Genomic DNA, 19,989 nt, shown 5'->3' on the forward strand with positions numbered 1-19,989 from the left:
CCTGCACAGAAGTGCAGGGCTGTGACTTTCTTACTTGTTCTTCTGTCCCCAGTGCTTAGAACAGGACTGGCACAGTGTTTGGCAAATATCTTGAGTTTTTAATGATGGCTTTCCAGAGAGTAGAGGCAAGGAGAAGAACCAAGCCCGGCAAAATCCTCAGGCCATTAGCATTGATCTTTCCATTTTTTAAATACATGATGTTTCAGCTCTCAAGACAGAGGGACTCTGAAGTCCTGTATGAAACTGACGTGATTCACAACATGTAAATTGTGCCTCCGCAGAGGTCTGCAAGGGCAGCCTGAGAGTCACAGCGTGCAGTGGAAGGAAAGAACTGTCAGGAGCTATTTGTTCACCCTGTCTTTGTGGACCCACTGGGATCCTCAAATGATCTGGACTGATTCCAGAAAACTGCCTCGCCTTCCCTGAACTGTCTTTATCCTCCCCCATGACTCTGTCCCGTGATTGCAAGGTGTTGGGAAAGATGATCACAGGCCATTCACATATTTAACCATCAAGCCTTGTTGCTAAGTCCAGGACTCAGCTCTTACTTTCATTTTACCTGACTTAGCAACAGCATTTAACGTATTCTGTCCTCCTGGGAGCACCTTATTTCCACTTGGTTTCTAGGCGATCACACTCTCCTGGTTTTTCTTCTGCTTCATTGGTGGCTTTTCCTTCTCAGGCCTCTTTAGTGTTTTCTCCTCATCTTCTGAATCTTGAATTTTTTCTATCTATTGATTCTCTTGGTGATCTCTGCAAGTTCCACTTATTTCAATATCTGTGAAATATTGGTGACTCCACATTGGTCTCCAACATGGACCTTATGCACCTATCTGGTACTCAGCATCTGCTCTGGGACACCTTGGACATCTCAAATCTAACAGGTCTGAAGTGGAGCACCTGGGCTCTCCTCTCAAACTGCTTCTAGAAATGTCTCCCTGTTCTCAGTTGATGGCAGCCCCATTCTTCCAGATGTTTAGGCCAAAACCCTTGTAGTCACTTGACTCTTCTGTTTCTTCCACATCCCATATTCATGGAAATATTCTAAATAGATTCAGAATCTGCCTACTGTGCTGCTCAGGCCAGGTCTTAGCAGCCATTGTTTCCCAGCTATATTACTACAGCAGTGCTGTGATTGGCTTCCTGCTTTTACATGGCCCCTGCATTCTATTTGGAGCACAGCAGAGAGTGATAATAGTATCATATAAGTCAGATTACATCACCGTGCCTTGTTGACAGTCCTCCTATGGCCCTCCAGCTTGCTCAGGGTAGAAGCCAAACTCCTTCTAGTGTCCCTCAGGGTCCTGCCCCCTGTGGACTCCTCTCTTCTGGGTCCCACTGACTCCCTGATGCCCCCAGATCAGCCCCTTTGTCCTGGCTGCTCCAGATACCCACTCAGCTCCCTCCCTTCCCTCCTTCAACCCTGTGCTCCTGCATCTGCTTCTCAGGCAGCCTTCCCTGATCACACACCTCTCACCTCTGGCATCCTGTGTCCCTTTCCCCTTTCCATTTTTTCATGTACTTAATATATTTTAACACAGCTTATGATTCATTTATTAGCTCTAGTCTCTGCTGAATCCCCCCACTAGAAAGTAAGCTCTATGAGGGCTAGAAATTTTATTTTGTTCACTATGGTGCCTCTAGAACCTAAAAAGTGACTGGTACTTGACAGATGCTCAATAAATATGTTTAATTAATTAATTAACCTGGGTTATAGATACTACTAAGTTGCAGGCAAGAAAAAATACACTTGACAGCTTAATCAAGATAAATTATTTCCACTTACTAAACCAATAGGCCAAATTTAACACCGTAAAGGTTGAGATACATGTACATTCTCATAGTCAAAGCCAAAAGCCAACTCTACAGACAAAAGATGAGGAGCATACCATGGGGAAACCTAAAGGTTATATATAACTGCCATTTCAGGACTGAACAGCAGGGACATGTTTTTGATCCAAAGGCTATCGGTCATATTAATAGATATATAATACACAGATCATGATAGATATTAGTTTTATTCTAATCTTTGCTGCTCAAATAGTGGAAAGAGAATTGGATTCACTTCCAAGCCCCAAGCCTAAGGAGAATTTAGGGAACATGGTCTCATTTGGAAAAGAGCCATCTTGGGTGGCATGTAATGGTCATGGGAGAAATATTTGACTATTTTTTTTTCAGCAGGAATAGCTCAAGGAAGATCTAACTAGTTTCCTTAGATATTTGACAAGACATTTTGTGGGAGGGGGAACATCCTTTCTTACTTCAGTTGGTAGAAAGGAAAACAGTGGGAAGAAGATAACTTTCAAATAAAGATCGGAAGATATGTAAATTGGTGAGACTTACCTAAGTATAGAACAGCAGCTCCTGGAGGCAAGAAGTCTCCCCTCTCTGGGGGTACAGCAGGAGCTTGGCAGCAAATTCCCAACAGGGAAGTTGTAGGGGGAATCAAAACTACATTAATTCAGACCCTCCATGAAGCAGACACAAAGATGGGATTAGATGTATGAAAGATTTACTGGGGAAATGAGATGGGAGTCAGAGGAGGCTGGGAAAGCCATCAGACCATAAGAAAGGTCTGATCTCTGTAAAGGAGAGAGGGAAGGAAGGAGGATTGGGTAGGGTAGGAAGAGCTTTAGCTTGCTGTGGGGGTTATAAGGTAGTGTTGGAAAGGCCACTGGGGAGTCTCTGATTGGAAGTTGCCCATCAGAGTAGTCCCATATATCGCAGGAATGGGTCTGCCATGGCATCCCTGCTGCTCTCATTCATTGGCTGGGAGCAGCCTGTGGGAATCAGGGCCTCTGTGTGAATATGGTGATGGACTGCAGAGTGCAGGAACTGGAGCTGTTAGTTAATTACTCTTCAAGGAGTAGGAACTCTGAGAGGTGCATTTCACAGCCACCACAAGGTCTCTAATGGGAACAGGGCATACCTGCCTTCAAGGTCCCAGAGGACACTCTGGCTCTGAGTCCTTATCACACTTCTAACTCTTTATGGCTTTCCTGGACTAGCAGCATCTTCAGAACAAGTGCTCTGCATCCTCTCCCTGAGGGGCTGCATGTAGTAGGGACTCACTGAGGGTCCAATGAGTAGTGGAGAAAGCAGCAGCCACCTTGTGACCCCGTAGTTGTGCAGTGTAAATTCCAGGTCTTTGAGGGCAATCTGTTAACTTGAATTGAGGATAGTAAATGTCACTCAGCCACGGTCCCCAGAGAAACCATTGTAAAGTGGAGTTTGAGTGAGGAAAAGACCTTCATCACTGCAGAAGTGCCAGGACTAAACGGAACAGCCCCTGAGCAGAGCACAGATTGAAGCCTCATCCATTACCCACCTCTTCCCCTAGAAAGACAGCCCTCATTTATTATTTCCAGACTGTTTTCATTTTGCTTACACCATGTGAAAAATGTTGAATTGGGAAATAAATAATATTATTTCCAAACAGAGATTTCTGAATCAACTTTACAGATTTTGGAATTATCTTGTTCCCAAATGTTTGATTTGTTTATCATTTCTTCATTTATACTTGTGAACTCCTTATTGGAAATTCCCTCATTTGGAAAACTCTGACCATACCTCTGTTGTTGGTCTGTGTTCATGTCTTTTTGAGAGATACCTCCTCTCTTCCTTTTAAAGTATAATAAAATCTAACTTGCAGTATCAGGAATAGATGTTTGCTAGAATGCTCCTTTCTGTTGTAGAGTAATTCTATACCAACTGGTTCTACTCTCTCATTATCATCTCTTGCCCCAGGTTCTCATCTCTGCAATAGCTCAGCCCACAACTGCAAGACTGAGGTTCCTTCAACACCTTCTTCTCAAAAACATTACAGTGTTCCTCCTTTCCTTCAGTCTTTTCCTTTGATTCCTCCAACTGTCTCTTGTTTTGGTCAAGCCTTGCCACCTCTGAAAGTCCCATGTCCATTCCAGCTCCTGTGCACACATGCTTTCCTTTCCTAAATGCTACCTTCTCTCTCCTCTGTTATCCAATCTCCATTGATTCTGCAAAACCCACAGGAAGTTCTGCAGGTCCAGCTCAGCTGATGATAAAGAAGGAGCAGAGTTCAAGCCGAATGCCATTTTTCTCCCTACGTACCTCTGGAAGATGGCCCTTCCCCTATAATTGAGTGTCTGTTCAGCTACCCTGTTTCTTTCTCTCTCCACAGCCCCCTCCACCGTTCCCATCATGCACCAAGTCAGTGCCACTATGAGGAGCATCACCTTGTCATGGCCACAGCCGGAGCAGCCCAATGGCATCATCCTGGACTATGAGATCCGGTACTATGAGAAGGTGAGCCAGCTCTACCTGCAAGCTTGCAAGACCCAAGGCCAGCCACTGTTCCATGGATGGTTGCTAGCTGAAGGCACAAAGGAGATAGGCTGCTGAGGTGGGGAGGATTCTGGTGACAGAGGCCAGAAGGTCCCTGGGAGAGTTCTCCAGGTCTGCCCTGACAAAGCCTTGTTCAAAGCCCAGGCACTTTCTGTGCCAACTAAGGAGAGAAACTTCCAGTCCACCATCCTGCAATCTGGATAGTTCACTGGCTGGGAAGGACCAGTCCCATTTTTCCAGTCACATGTTTGATATACTAATGCAGATGCCACAAAACTGCCAGGGGTCCCCGAACCTTCAGAGGAGTGTGTGGTTTGGTAGATCAGTGTTTTTCAAAGTGTTTGTGTACCTCCAAAATAAATTTATTTATAAATTATATGCATGTACTACTGCACTAATATATTTGTGGAGGATAAAAAAACATGTAAAGTGAACATTCAAAAGGATGAGATAAAAATTAACAGAAATATAAATTTATATATTATTTTCCTTGACTACTCTTGAGCATCTGCTTCTGAGGATGACAGTGGGGCATGGGGCTGCCAAGAAAAGGGAAATGGTGCCTGGTGGAGCTGGTCCCTGGCCTCCCTCTTACCAGGGCAAAATGCAGCATTTGCAAAAATCTTAGGAAAATACAGTGCCTTCCGTTTTAACCCAACACATTATTTGTAAAACCACATTATTCATTCACTTATTTGTTCAGTAAGTATTGTCAACTATTTGACAGGCACTATTCTAGGATATATTAGTGATCAAGGAGACAAAGATTCCTGCCTTTGAGGAGCTTACTTTCCAACAGAGGGAAACAGGCAATAAACAGTGAACATAACACATAAGAAAATCATATAGTGTGTTAGAAAATCAACAGCATAGAGGAAAAAAGAGAAAAAATAGCAAGGTAAATGGGATCAGGAGGGTTAGGCTTGGGAAAGAGCAGGTTGCATAATTAAGTAGAGGGGTAGAGATAGGCCTCTTGGAGAAGGTAAGATCTGAGTAAACCTGAAGAAAGTAAGATCGTTGTGAAGCAGTTATCTGGAGGAGGAAAGGGCAACAGCCTATGCAAAGGTCCTGAGGCATGATCATGACTGGTGATTCAACAAGCAGGAAGGAAACCAGCATGACTGGAGTGATGCAAGCAAATGGGGAAGTAATAGACAGATGAGAGAGATTACCAGAGGAGGTCATCATGTTGGGCCTTAAAGACTGGGCCGGGTGCAGTGGCTCACACCTGCAATCCTAGCACGTTGGGAGGCTGAGGCAGGCAGATCAGTGGCGCTCAGGAGTTCAAGACTAGCCTGACCAACATAATGAAACCCCATCTCTACTAAAAATACAAAAAATTAGCCAGGAGTGGTGGCAGGCTACTCGGGAGGCTGAGGCTAGAGAATCACTTGAACCCAGGAGGTGGAGGTTGCAGTGAGCCTAGATCACACCACTGCACTCCAGTGTGGGTGACAGAGCAAGACTTTGTCAAAAAAAAAAAAAAAAAAAAAAAGACTGGAGCTTTTCCACTGAGTGAGATATGGAGCTATAGCAGGTTGAGGAGCGGAGGAGGGACAAGATCTAACTTACATTTTGGATGGATCATTTAAGCTGTTCCACTGAAAACAGAGCCTAGTAGATCTACAATTATTAACGAGGATGATGGTGTAATCAGGGTAAAAGCAGAGGGCTGTTGAAATGTAGTTGATTTCCAGATCAGCTAAAGGCAGAGCCAACAGGATTTCCAGCAAGTTGGATTTCGGGCATGGGAAGGTTTTAGCCTGAACCACTAGAACGATGTAGCCGGCACTGACTGAGAAGGTGATCACTGTGGGTAGAGCATATCTGATGTGAGGAAAGGAACAGAAGTTCAGTTCAGTGTCTAAAATGCTTGTAAAATGGCCAAGCAGAGATGTGAGATAGGCAGCAAGAGATTCACATCTGGAGTTCAAGGGAGGGGACCGGGTGAAGATATCCACCTGGGAGTTGTCAGTATGTAGATGATAAGAAAGTCCTGAGCCTGGGTGAGGTCTTGCAGTGGGTCAATGGAAATAAGGAGAGGAACAGAAACAGAGACCTATGGGCCTGCAACAGGGAGGCCATGCTGAATAGTGGGACATGACTGCACTGGCAGCAGAAGCCCTCGTTTCCAGTGCCCTGTGCAGCTAACCAGCCATGGAGCTGTGGTCCAATTACTTAACCACTCTAGGTCACAGTTTTACATTTATAGAATGGTAGCAGTTTACCTCCCTGAAAGCGGAGGTCTAGATGGATCACCAATCCCAGTCTGTAAGGAGGTATGCCCTTCAGCCATTAGAGCTGAACTTGCAAGCAAGGTGGAGGATTAAGCGGCATTCTATTCTACTTAGAGAATATTGAGTTTTATAAGGAGTTGATTCAGATACTTCAGTGAATTGGAAATAATTTAAACCAGCTGAATTCATAAGCATCTGTTATATCTGATCCATTTTGGATTTAGGGCTCTTACTTGCTAGATATTTTTTGTCAGTTAATGAAGTAAATGTTGACTTTTTAACATATTTTGGAACAATGTGTTTAGACTAACTGACCACATGGTCTCATTTTGTCATCAGAGTTGGCCTAACAAGGGTCCACCCAGTCCCCCTTCCCACACATATAAGCTTGTAGCTCTATTGAAATAACACCTCATCTCAGAAAAACAATAATAATTTCTCCCCAGCGTGCACCTATTGTGTGCCAGGGGTTTTATAAACATTATCTACTTTCTTCCTCACATGCCAGTGTGGTAAATGTTAGTATCATTGCTATGGGTAAAGAAGTTTTTAAAAGGAAAACAAAGAAGTTAATAAAACAAAAACCTTGTCCAGAGTCCCACAGCTGGGAAGCGAGCCTGGGTCCTTTGCCCTGCAGCAGGTGGTGGTGCTGGGAAGGGAAAGAATATGTTAGAGACCATATACTCCTCCTCTTCATCTGCCGTGCTCAGAGCAGTCACTTCAGTGGGTAGCCAGGGCAGGGGTCAAGGGCTTAATGACAGGCCGAGCACTGAAGCCACGAGGCTCATGCCTGTATACCTTGGCTCCTTCCTCCCAAACCAGCCCAAGCTCCTCTACTACCTTTCCCTTTACAGCTTTCCCTTGAAAACTGTAATTAACCTCAACTTTTTATGCTGTAAAAGCAGCTTATTCTCCCATTCAGGCTACCTCCCTGCTTCTTAGTAATTTGTACTAATTATTAACAGACACACATACACAGCAGCCCAATGCCTGCAGCAGCTTCCACACCTCAGTGAAGCATATTATTGTCCCCACTCCAGAGGAGAGAATGCTTTCCTTGGAAACAGAGAAGGTTCTTTGGGCAAATATTGGTTACCATTTGGTATACGACTGTGGAATGCTCCTTCACTTACGAAGTGCTTGACTACAAAGTCCATTACATTGCTTTGACTATTCCTAAGACTACCAAAGAAAAAGATGTTAGCCCATGAGGGCCTTTTGAAACAATGATGATAATTCATCGTATGTTGAGTATCTATTATGTGCCAGATATACACAGATATATTAGCTCTGATCCTTAAAGGAAAAAAAGTGTATACTTGAAAATATATATAACCAACTTATAGATGATGGAGCTATGTCATAGAAACATTAAATGACTTACCCATAACAGCACAGGTCATTGCTAGGGAGTCACAGAACCAGAACTTTACACATTTTTATGATACTTCGGTGGTGGAAACTTCTGAGCTTGATAGGAGAGTGGATGCAAGCACCTCCGATGCTGAGGATCTCAAAATTAGTGTGGCTCCCAAAATAAGAGATTGTATCTTAATAAATCCAAATACTTGCAAACAGAATGATCTGCTTACCTGCTCCATGTGGCCTTGGAATCCTGGTCTTTAGAAGATGTAAACACAAATAGAATTCAGCACAGTAGATGTCTTGGATTTGGTCCAAAGAAGCAAACCCCATTATTTCTTCATCTTGTGCCATCTCCTCTTCCCCCAAGGAAGTCCCAGCCCCTCATCTAAACCAGGAGTCAGCAAGCTTTTCCTGTAAAGAACCAGAAAGTAATTAATTTAGGCTTACGGGCCATATGGTTTTTGCCCCAACTGCTATAGTCGACTCTGCCTTTGTAGCGGGAAAGTAGCCATAGGCAATATGCAAATTGATGGGCATGGCTGGGTTCCAGTGGAACTTTATCAAAACAGGTAGCTGGTCCATGAGGGCAGTTTTGTAACCCCTGAAAATCTTCCATGGGTCTCCTGCTCCACATAACCCTTGGTTTGCGCTTAGGACCCCTTTCAGTTTCACTCTATGAATAGAATTGATGAGGCTTTTGCTTCCTCCACCAGCTCATTAATAGAGAGCTCAGATGCCATCAAGCTGATGACACTCCTGGAGCCTTTCCCATGTTCATCTCCTTCCCCATTTTAATACACTTCCATTCATCATTCTCTCTTGTTTACTGTCGTGTAGCACTTTTCACTCCTGGTGTCAGCGCTTGTAGACAAACCATAGGAGGAGCATCTACATCTGCTCTCAGCTGTCTTAATGATTAAACGTTTATGGTTACTCGCTCTTCATAATAACTATATAGGCTAGGACTGGCTGGTTTAGGCCTTGGTAATTTCTACCTTTCAAATTTTAGGATCGTTTTCTCATAGAGACTCTTTCAGACCTTGGCAATATCTTGTGCTCAATCAATTTGTTCAAATAACTGGACCGAAGTTTACTGTTTATTTATTCATTTGGCATTGAGTTGTTGAGCGCCCAGGTGGTACAAGCATTGCGCTGCATATTGGGGTGGGGAAGGAGAAATGAGGGAAACATGGTTTCTGCCCTCAACAGCTGCATTCTCCATCCTGCATCCTCTGTCTCCCACATACTTATAATTAGTCATAAGCAACCAATAATAATAAAAAAAAGCAACTTTGTTCATGGCTCTTACTGATTTGCCTGAAATTGATTAATGATTTTGTGGGGAACAAGAACTAATATTCATTTTAATCACTGAACTTCTTCAAGAATGTTTGGACTATAAAGTGATTATGGAGTAATGTTTGGTCCTCACAATCCAAATACCAATGATGTATTAAAACAGTTTTTCAATAACAGCTATCCAGTCACTGCTTCATATTTATCAGCCAGTGCCTGATTTCAGCAGATTCTATTAAAACCAGAGAATTCAGGCAGCTGCTTGGATTTTGTAGCAATGGGATTTTATTCTTATTTGCAAGGTGACTTGGTGATTTTCACAGTTTCAGATCTCAGATCTCCACTGTGTCAAAGTAGAAATGATCAAAGTTCTGGATGACATCCCTTCTATAGTGGACAGCCTTTCTTCTGAATCCCTGAGTGGGGGTGGGGAGGATCCCCTTGTGTTTAAATAGATCAAATAGTGGGTGGGCAGCTCCTCTGCAGGCAATCTCTCCCAGGGCCCAGTAGACATCCCCTTCATTAGAGTGAGAATGGGCCTCTTTGTAACTTTCAACTGTGTGTTTGAGCTGACCTGGGACCTGTGGTCCCTCACAACTGCTTCTGAATCATTTATGGGCATTTCTATGCCACCCACACTTCAGATATGCCAATTACTTGCAGTCTCCTGAACTCCTCTAGGCCGTGCTTTTGCATGTTTAATTCTGTTCTCACTCTCCACATTCATCCATGTGGCTAATTTATTTCATCTTTTGTGACTCAACTCAGGTCACCCTTTCCCTCAGTCACTCTGCATCTCCTCTGAAGTCTGGGCTGGATGGTCCCCTGCTGTGCCCCCACAATCCCCTGAACTGCTCTCTGCCAACTCACTCAATCAACACTGCTGTCATCTTCTATTTATTTACCAGTCCACCCACAGATGTTACATCCCCAGAGGAAAGGAACCATGCCTTTGTACCTGCAGCCCATGTATAGCACCCAGAGATAGTAGTGTGTCATAAATGTAACTGGCTGGCCAAACGAAGGAATGAGTAAATAAATACACATCAGGTCATCTTTGACTTCACAAAGTAGGCTTTTATATATTTTAAACAATGGGAATTTCTTATCACTGTACTGTATTCTTTACATATATTTACATAAAATATATTCTTTATATGGGAATTTCTTATCACTGTACTGTATCCTAGCTCAGCTCTGTTTCTTCTGTCATTTTACCAAGAATACAGTTTACAATTTGTAAAGCATGCTTCTTGAACCATTGTGCCTAGAACTCATCTCAGTACCCCAGATCTGCACAGGGGACACAGGGACTTGGATCATTCCCTCCTAGTGATCCAGGCTCTTCATTTTCACTAAAGTCCCCATTTTTTTCTAGGATTCATGGTGCAGACAAAGACAGGCCCAGGCTTCAAGCTTCTGTTCATGCATACCTGCAGATAACCCAGGATCTTTGCAAAGAAAAGATATGCTCCTGTGAAAATGATTAGAGGCCATGTTGGTATACAAGAAGGTGCTGGGGTGAGGTGTGATTCGGAATGACAGTGTGTAGACAGTCCACAGCCCAGACTGGTGAAAGAAGCCTTCCAAGAGAAGAGGCCTTGGGAAACATAGGCTTAAGCAATCTGGAGGGAGTAGAGGAGCCCTGGAGAGAGGCATTTTAGACAAAGAAAAGAGCCTAAGCAAATGTCTGCTGGCAAAGATGTGGTCCCCGGATTTAGGGGAATGTGAGAGATTGGAATTGACTTCATTATGAAGGACCTGTGAATCTATATTTAAGAGTTTTGCCTTTGTATGATGATAGTTTTTAAGAAAAGAAGTGTGGCGTTGGGTGGGGTGGATGGGGAACATCAAGAAAGAAAGGAGGCTGCAAAAGTCCAGGCACAAATCATGTGTTTAATAAGATAAGTAGCAAGGAGAAAAAGTCACCTTTTAAGGGCACTCACGATGAGAAAAAGAGTCATGCTTCTGGAAAACAGAAGCAACTCTCTGCACATCAGAGGACCCAAGTGTGCAGATGACAGGGACTGTAGAGGTCAGCACAGAAAGTGCTGGAGAGAGTGACAGACAGGAGAATGGGGCTCATCCAGAGTAGGTGGGGGGGATGAGGACACAGGGGCTGCTCTGCAGGGAGAAGGCACATGCCCGCTCTGAATGCTGGCGGAAAGTAGCTGGGGGATGCACTCTCAGACACAGGGCAAGGTGAGGGCAGAAGTAGGTGTGGAGGGCAGTCCAGAATGGCCTCTACCTCTCCAGCAGAGTGGACACAAAGCCTTTTGCCTGAGCACTTGAAGGAACTGAAGGGGAGTGATGTAGAACAGGCACTTTGGAGAGTGTCTAGGGAGATCTGAGTCAGGAGAGAAAACAGAACAACTCAGCAGAAGCAAGACAAAGAGAGGCAGGCAGGGGGCAGATGGATGTTGCCTAGTTTGAGTCTGCTGAGGTCAGAGACTTGAGGGGATTTTGCAAAGCTGGATGTGCTATGTTATTTCACCTCTGAACCCTTGGGGAGGAGGACTAGAGAATGACAATAAGCTTCCTCGCCAGTCCCTGAGCACTCAGTCATTTCCCTGGGCCCCTTTTTTCAGAGTGTGGCCACCTCATAGTCCAGACCTGACCCTACATTCCCTTGGCCCAGATCAGACTTCTTGTCCCCATCCAGAGGGATGGCCTGGAGCTGATGACAACTGCTAGCAGATATGCAGGACCAAGAAATGATGGGGCCTGAATACTCCAGGGTGGAGTGGGCTGGGGGTGTAGCCTTCAGGAATGGGATAGTGACCCTTTCCCTTGCTTTCTTTTAGGAACACAATGAGTTCAACTCCTCCATGGCCAGGAGTCAGACCAACACAGCAAGGATTGATGGGCTGCGGCCTGGCATGGTATATGTGGTACAGGTGCGTGCCCGCACTGTTGCTGGCTACGGCAAGTTCAGTGGCAAGATGTGCTTCCAGACTCTGACTGACGGTAAGGGTCGGGGAGGGCAGTGGCATAATCACAGGGCAGGCAGTGTGGGAGAAAAAGTAGCCCCAAAGATGCTGCACTAGCCAAAAATGCTGATCTCCAACTGGATTCCAGTGGAATTCCCTTCAAACGGTTTGCCTCCCAGTAGGGCCATGTAGATTTTCCTGATGTCTGGCTCATTTCTCTCCCAACGCCTGGTTGGATTTGCCTCTGAAGGGTCTCTTGCCATGTGTGATCTTGCATTTCAGCAGTGAGACTCATACCTGTCTCATGGAGCCAGTGTGCCCTCTTGCCTAGGTATCCAGGTCCAGATGCCTCTGTTTCACCCTCACGCCCACTTCACTCCTCTGTGCTTATGGTCTGAAAGCTGAGCTCATGGCCTAGTTTCATGAGCCAAGGTCTTCAGGGAGGAAATGGAGAGACAAAATGTGGGATGTGGCAGTCTCATGCACCTGGGATCTCAGAAATTTGAAGCAACTTCACATGTGACCCCCAGTATGTCCTGCTCGGATGTCTCCAGAGAGAATAGCCAAGGTGTCCTCAAGGCCAGAAAGTCTATCACCATAAATATACTTCTACCTTTGGGTTTTATTAGTTCCCTATTATCACTATCTGCCCCACTCCTCTGAGACCACCCCCAGCAATAGTTCTGAAAAATCTGATTTCCCAGTAGCCTCAGCATTGTGCTCAAGTGATCTATCTGACTGTGCCTACCACTTTCTCTCTCTTAGCTAGCCATTTACCATAGTTTATGTAATTATTTGTGTATCTGCCTACCTACCTATATATCTATATTTATTATTCACTTATGAGCTGTTTCCTGATAGTTTTCCAAATGTCAGTCTATTCCTGACTCCCCAAATTGAAAGCTTTCCATTTTTCCTTCATTAATTAAATTATCCATAAAACAGTCTGTCCTTATATAGCATTTTATTTTAGGCCAATGCTCTCAGTCTGGGTGTTTGATAGGGCTTGAGATTTTATCTTGATGCACATTGTATTTTTTAACAATTTTGAAATTAATTGGAAACTTTTAAAATCAGTTGGGTTCTTATACAAATCAGGATGTTGATGTTCTTGTGAAAAAATTGTAAGAGAAGCCAATACTTGTGGGCACTCTGGAGTGAGGACCTTGCCTTAAAGCTGAGAGGCAGCTGTCTGCATATGGTACCCACCACTTCCAATATCTCTAACCTGGATACTTTGATGTGAACCGTCTGGCCCCTGTAGGACTGGAGTTTGCAATCTATTGTGAGTTTATTTGAGGTGGACTTTCTCTCATATTTTGAGGATGGTGAGATGGGGTAGAGAGGTGAGCCAGTTAATTCAGGTTGATAATGCTACTGGTATGAAAAGAACACAGACTGTCTTCTTTTTCCTTAAGGGCTCTGTCCTCCACTTTGCACCTCACTTACTGTCTAGATTTATAGGCACTCTGGCATCAGGACGTACACAGGATTAAAAGCCCAAAACTCAAAATGCTCCGAGTGCTGGTCTCTTGGCAATTCTGCTAGACAAATCAAGAAGTAACAAATTTCTCCCAAGAAGGCTGTTTCTTTTACATTTGGCAGTTAAGTTTTGCAAACCCAAGAGGGGCTGGTTGTAAGAGAGTTCTGGTAAGTGGCCAAATTTGGGAGTATTTGTCTTACGACTGAGGTTCACACATGGGTACGGATTATGTTCACTGGGGCAGCAGGCCTGTCTGCAGAGCGAAGGTAGTCAGAAGGTTGATCGATGATAGGGTCATTGGGGCAGGGAGGACCTGTGGAATCCTGCCCAGAGTCAATGGCCACACTTTGGGCTGGTAACCTCCACATAGGGCAGACCCACTATGGCCCTGGGCTGCTCTTAGCTACACTGTTCTGATTTTTGACGTAGCTGCCTAATTTTTAAAAAATCATTCAAGTTTCATATTACATTATGAAGTTTTTAATTTATAAAGACATTGTTAAGGATGCTTCATTGGGGTTCCCTGTGTATTTTTCTATCGCCAACTTTATGTTTTAAATACATATATTACAGAAAGTCTCAGCTGAGGGCAACTGAAAATTTTCCTTCAGTCTTTAAAATTGACTTCCGTCTTTAAAATTCTAGAGAATGGGAGGCTTCAAGAACCAATATCCTTGTTCTTAGAAATCTTTCTCCTCCAACATGGTTGAAGGACAGTTCTCAAACATTGGGGAACATTAGAATCACCTGGACTGTTTGTTAAATATGCAGATACCCTGCTCTTCACCCAGAGGATCTGATTCAGTAGATCTGAGGAGGGGTCTGGAAACAGTCATGTTTAACAGTCGGGCTCAGGTAATTCTGATAGCTCATGGGAAACCTCACTTTAAGAAGTATTGTCAGTGGGCATGGTGGCTCACACCTCTAATCCCAGCACTTTGGGAGGCCGAGACAGGTGGATCACTTGAGGTTAGGAGTTCAAGACCAGCCTGGCCAACATGGTAAAACCCCATCTCTACTAAAAATACAAAAAGTAGCCGGGTGTGGTGGCATGTGCCTGTAATCCCAGCTACTCGGGAGGCTGAGACATTAGAATTGCTTGAACTCGGGAGGCGGAGGTTACAGTGAGCCAAGATTGTGCCACTGCACTCCACCCTGGGTGACAGAGCAAGACTGTCTCAAAAAAAAAAAAAAAAAAAAAAAGAAGTATTGTCATTAGGGTTGCTAGATAAAAAATAAGATGAACAGTTAAATTTGAATTTCAGACAAACAAAAATTATGTTTTAGTGTAAGTATCTCCCAAGCAATATTTGAGGCATACTTATACTAAAACCTTTTTCATTATTTATCAGAAATTCAAATGTGATTGGCAGTCCTACATTCGTATTTGCTATAGCTGGCAACTCTAATTGTAATAGAACATAAATAGCTTGACTTCTCTATGCCTAGGTCCTGAACATTAGGTAATAGTTCTTTAACACCAGTGAAAGCATAACCAGGACAATACCAATACTAGCCAGCTGGCCCAAATTATTTGTATAGATTAAAGAAAAGAGATTTGGTATTTAGGACACCTATGATAGAGCAGACAGGGTGAAATGTGCTTCATATGATTTGATTTTTTTCAACAGACAGGAAGTGTGAGGGTCAGAAGGACTAAATCGTGTGTCCAGTATCACAAAGCTTGCACATGGTAACGCCAGGGTTTAGATGAGTTCTGTCTGCCTCTATGACCCGTAGGCTTCCCATTCCACTGCATAATTCAGCATGGTTCTAACATTTGGCAGAAGCCTTGATCATTTTCTTCTTGAGCGGGAACTCAGAGTGCTGGGCCATTCATTTCTCAGGCATTTCTTTGTCCTCCACAGTGCCTGGAGGTAGTGCTGGCTGACTGCGGATACTCTTTAAGTATCTGCTCAATGAATCTATTGACTCTGTGCCATTTCATAACTTCATGCTTTAGAAGATATTTCAGCAGTGGTTTTCATTTAGATAAGTCCCCTTCATTGGAATGTCCTTAACATGGCTGACAGTTCTTCGAGAGACCTTCCAATTGAGGGAATGTAGATTGGAAATCATCTCTGCTCCAGGAATGTCATCAGCTATAGTTCCCAGATTCTGTCACGGCTGTTTTGTTTTCATTGTCCTTTGTTTTTGGTTGTTTTTGTTTATTTATAACTTAAAAATTGCTGTTTGTTTTGGTTAGACTTACAACTCTGACACATAGAAACTATCCTCTACATATATGTATATTTAGATCATGTTTTTGGTATTGTGCACTGAGTATCAGCTGTATGCAAAAGGCACATGGGGAGGATTCTAATGCCTCTTTCTCACCTAGATGATTACAAGTCAGAGCTGAGGGAGCAGCTGCCCCTGATTGCTGGCTCGGCAGCGGCCGGGGTCGTGTTCGTTGTGTCCTTGGTGGCCATCTCTATCGTCTGTAGCAGGTAGGTCCTCCACTCTCACTTGCTCTCCTTGGACCCAGGAAGCCCCTCTCCATGTGCCGTTTCCCAGGCTGCGTGGATCAGATAGGGTGTGACCATTCACGACCACAATCATCACTCCATCTCAATCCAAGAGCAGCCTAGAATTCTTTAGATATTTATTTAGCTGGGAAAAAATTCATATGAGAGCTGGGCAAGGCTATGAGTAAACAGCATCCATCCTCAAACCTCATTTTAACGAAGACTTTTAGCCCCCTCTTACACACAATGGCTTTTCAGAGTGACAGTTGCAAAATTGCATTTGACTCACTGGAGCATCCAGCCTGTGCATAACCCATCCTCCAGTTAAGAGAGCTCAGGCTCTCAGCAGCCAGCAAGAGGGAGGCAGGCTGGCAGGAGAGAAGATGAGGAGGAAAGGGAAACTCTGAGTTCTGCAGAAAAGCTGGCCCCGAAAGCCTTGTGATTTTTTAATACTGCTGCTACTGCCTTCAGTGGTTAGCCCAGATTCTGTCACGCAAAGCCCTGTAGTTGGCTCCCTCCCAAGCAGTTCTGCAATGTAGCTTAAGTGCTGATGGACATCCTCTTCACCTCTGCCCCCATCAGCACTGCCCTCTGAATGGGGTCCCACAGTCCCGCCAGGCTTCTGCAAGACCTTGGCTGGAAAGCAGAACCATCTGCCCACAGGAGTGAGTGGTGGTCAACAAGAGCTCTAACTGCAGCAGGAGGGCTGAAGTGAGAGTTGCCCAGTCCCTAATCCTGGGAGATGCCCCGGGTGAGCCCCTATCTGGCCTGGGGCCTAGATGGAGGTACCTGGAACAGACTGGTGGGTGTGCCCTGTGGCTGAGAGAGCCCCTCTTTTTATCCACAGGAAACGGGCTTATAGCAAAGAGGCTGTGTACAGCGATAAGCTCCAGCATTACAGCACAGGCCGAGGTAAGTAGAAAGCAGAGACCCGGTGTCTGACCCCCACAGGCCACTGAGTCAAGTGGGCTAGTGCTCAGAGCTCTCTTTATAGCCAGACTGGCTGGTCCCAGTGGCAAGTTCTCTCTCAGCCCCCAGTGCCTTGGCCACCTTTCTGCAGGTCCCCAGGGGCAACAGGCTACCCTCCCATCTGCCGTCTACCTGTCATGGGTACTCATTGGATGCCTGGTGGGTAGATTATTGTCTGCACTGATAAGCCCATATAGGACACAAAATGCAGGGAAAAGATTGGGTTTAGCAAGTCAATGAATCCTCAAATCAGACTCAGTGGGAAAAGATGGAGTTCTCTATTAACATCTTCTGCCTTATCTTATCCAATTGAGCAGCTGGGGAATTTGTTAACCAAATTCACAGATAAGCCATAGAACATGAAGGTAGGGAATTAAAAAGATAGCAGAGCCCAAGAGGCCAAAGTGCTGGGATATCTCCCAAGTGTTTTCCTTTAAGCAGTACCTTTAAAAGTTTTTCTCACTCATTATCCTCTCTCTTTTATAAACCTATATTTATAATATTTTTATAACTAAAATTTCTTTTCACCAAGGTGCAACATAAAGTTCCCTGTCACACTCATTTTCTCATCTGTATAATGACAACATTGCAGGATCTGAGAAAGGTCTCTCTAGGTCATTTGGGCCACCTTCCTGCCTCCAGAAAGCAGAATTCTCAGATCCTTACAGCAGACACATTCTGTTTCTAAATAATTCCTTTTGAATTCGACAGATGCCCTCAGAAATCTGTCCCAGCACTGTGTGCTATGCTCTGTCAAGGCTTCTTCTGTGAGCCTCATCTCACCTCAACCCCCTTGTTGCAAAGTAAGGCTGGTGCTTCCTGTTTTCTCAGCAATTAGCATGGAAAACAGACCTCCCAGGTACCTACACACCAAACCTGTCTCCACAGGGGGGTTCTTCTGGGGGTGAACATGGACTCCCAGGCCAAAGTTCTCATGGACCAGACTGCTTCTTCTCTAAGGTTACCCAAGGCGGGAAAGTGATGACAGGATGTTCACAGCAGCAGCTGCACCATGAAGGAGCTTGTGTTCTAATGCAGCCAATGCCGACTCGGGCTGTACAAAGGGCACTTCATAGATGTGGCTTCCAATCTAAGATCAAGACCCTGCCAAGGGTTTGCAGAGGCCCAAGCCCCTGGCAGCTGGGCTGCTGCCCAGGGCACTTATTGCTGGAGGGAGTTGTGGGTTCTGCACTGGCTCGAGCACTGCTGCTTTCCCACGGTGCCCCAGGGGAGCCCCTACCATCAGCAGCCCAAGTGTGGGGGCCCTCTAGGCCACAGGCACAGCTCCTGCTATATTCAGAGTCCTGCTTATTCCTCTTTCTTTCTCTCCCTGGGCCACCCTGTTACTCCATTGTCACTGATTTCAGAGGGATCAACCCTGCTGTGTTCTCTTTCCTTTCCTATGGCCGGACTGTGTGCCTTGCTGCATAATCTACAGGATGCTTCTATTTATGTTGGCCTGTGCATTAGCCCTTCCAGGCAGGGCCTTACCTTCCCCAACTGGAAAACAGGGACTTTGCTTGTACCTGTGATTCTCAAGTGATGGTGCACTCACCAGGGTGCCTCCGTATTTCCTCAAGGGCGACCTTCGTCTCCCTGCTTCCCTGCCTCTGCCTCAGGATCCTGACATTGCCTCCCTGACTCTTGCTCAGGGCTGGCTCTTTTTCATCATGAGCCACTGTAAGGTCCATTTCAGATCTGGCATCCTGTGAATGCTGTGGATGAAACATTTAGAGGTGGTCATGTCAGTCTGAAAGTGGAGCCAGGACCATAAGGATAAAAAATTAGGTTCAAAAGGAGGAATCTCACTTCGAAGTCAAGAGATATCCAAAGATGCCTTAGGATGACTTAGGTGAGAGCTCCCTTTCCAAAAGCGTGCAAGCCAAGCCTTGGCTTCACTCCTTGGCTGGGGTATAGAGGTTCTCCAAACATTGGGTGGGGTGAAACTTTGTGCCCTTTCGGCTACTGCAACCTGAGATCTGGCTGTTCTCCTGCTCTCGAGGAGTAGCTATGCCAGGCCATCACATGGTGCCCATGTGCACAAAAGCATGCTTCCAAAATGCTCACAGCTACCTTTTGGGGGACTCTGTTACCTCTCAGGCCAACAGAGGAAGATTTTACTGGTTCCTGAGATCCATAGAAAAACCAATCCTCAGTCTGCAGTAATAGTGGCCTTGCTGGAACAAGGGAGGACAGCTGAAAGAACATTGTTGGCCAGCTACATAGTCGCCATTCCTGGGACTCAGGATGGATGCAGGGTTTTTTGTGGGTCTGGGTTCACTCCCTTGGCTTCCTTGGAAGTCTGTCCTCTTTTTAATTCGGTTTGCCTTTTATAAATCTTGTCATTTCCCTCTATTCATAACTATTCTCTTTTGATCCAACCTTGGGCACCTGGCTCCTCTTTGCACCCAAGTTCTCTAAACTCAGTCTCATGCATTGAATTGCATTTGTGCGTTTACTCCTGTGAATATCCATTTCCCTGACTAAAGCTATTACTGTTGGAGAATCATGGTCAAAGGAATGTAGAGCTGGCGGATGGCTCAGCACACATACAACAGAAGGGGAAACTGAAGGCTCTGATGGAGGGAGGGCCTGGCCAAAGAGGGGGTAGGGGTAGAAGTAAGGGGTTAGGGAACTCCCTACATTGGGAGTTTTATTCTGGCAGCTCTCTTAAACTCATTGAGTCTTCACAACCACTCTAAGAGAAAGGAACTAATCTAGGAGGGTTAAGTGACTTATCTAGGGCACATGACTAAGTAGCAGAGGCAGACTACACACCCTCTAAGCCGGCTGCAGAGCCCATGCTCTTTCCACAGCCTGATTATGAGGAGCAGCTCCAGGACTAATCCCAGCTGTCTAAGTTGGTGTTTTGTGGCTCCCCACTCTGAATCCCACTGCAGGAGGCAGAAAGATTGATA

At 45.0% G+C, this 19,989-nt stretch overlaps 1 protein-coding gene across 1 annotated transcript in view; it reads left to right on the forward strand.

Moving 5' to 3' along the window:
• Nucleotides 1-19,989, forward strand: part of EPHB1 (EPH receptor B1) — a 465,208-nt gene that overhangs the window by 354,733 nt on the left and 90,486 nt on the right. The window contains exons 6-9 of the mRNA NM_004441.5: nt 4,160-4,284; nt 12,026-12,188; nt 15,976-16,084; nt 16,950-17,014. Coding sequence (NP_004432.1) covers nt 4,160-4,284; nt 12,026-12,188; nt 15,976-16,084; nt 16,950-17,014 — 462 coding nt within the window. The remainder of the gene's footprint in view (nt 1-4,159; nt 4,285-12,025; nt 12,189-15,975; nt 16,085-16,949; nt 17,015-19,989) is intronic.

This window comes from Homo sapiens, chromosome 3 (genome assembly GCF_000001405.40).
Source record: "Homo sapiens chromosome 3, GRCh38.p14 Primary Assembly".
Classification (NCBI taxonomy): domain Eukaryota; kingdom Metazoa; phylum Chordata; class Mammalia; order Primates; family Hominidae; genus Homo; species Homo sapiens.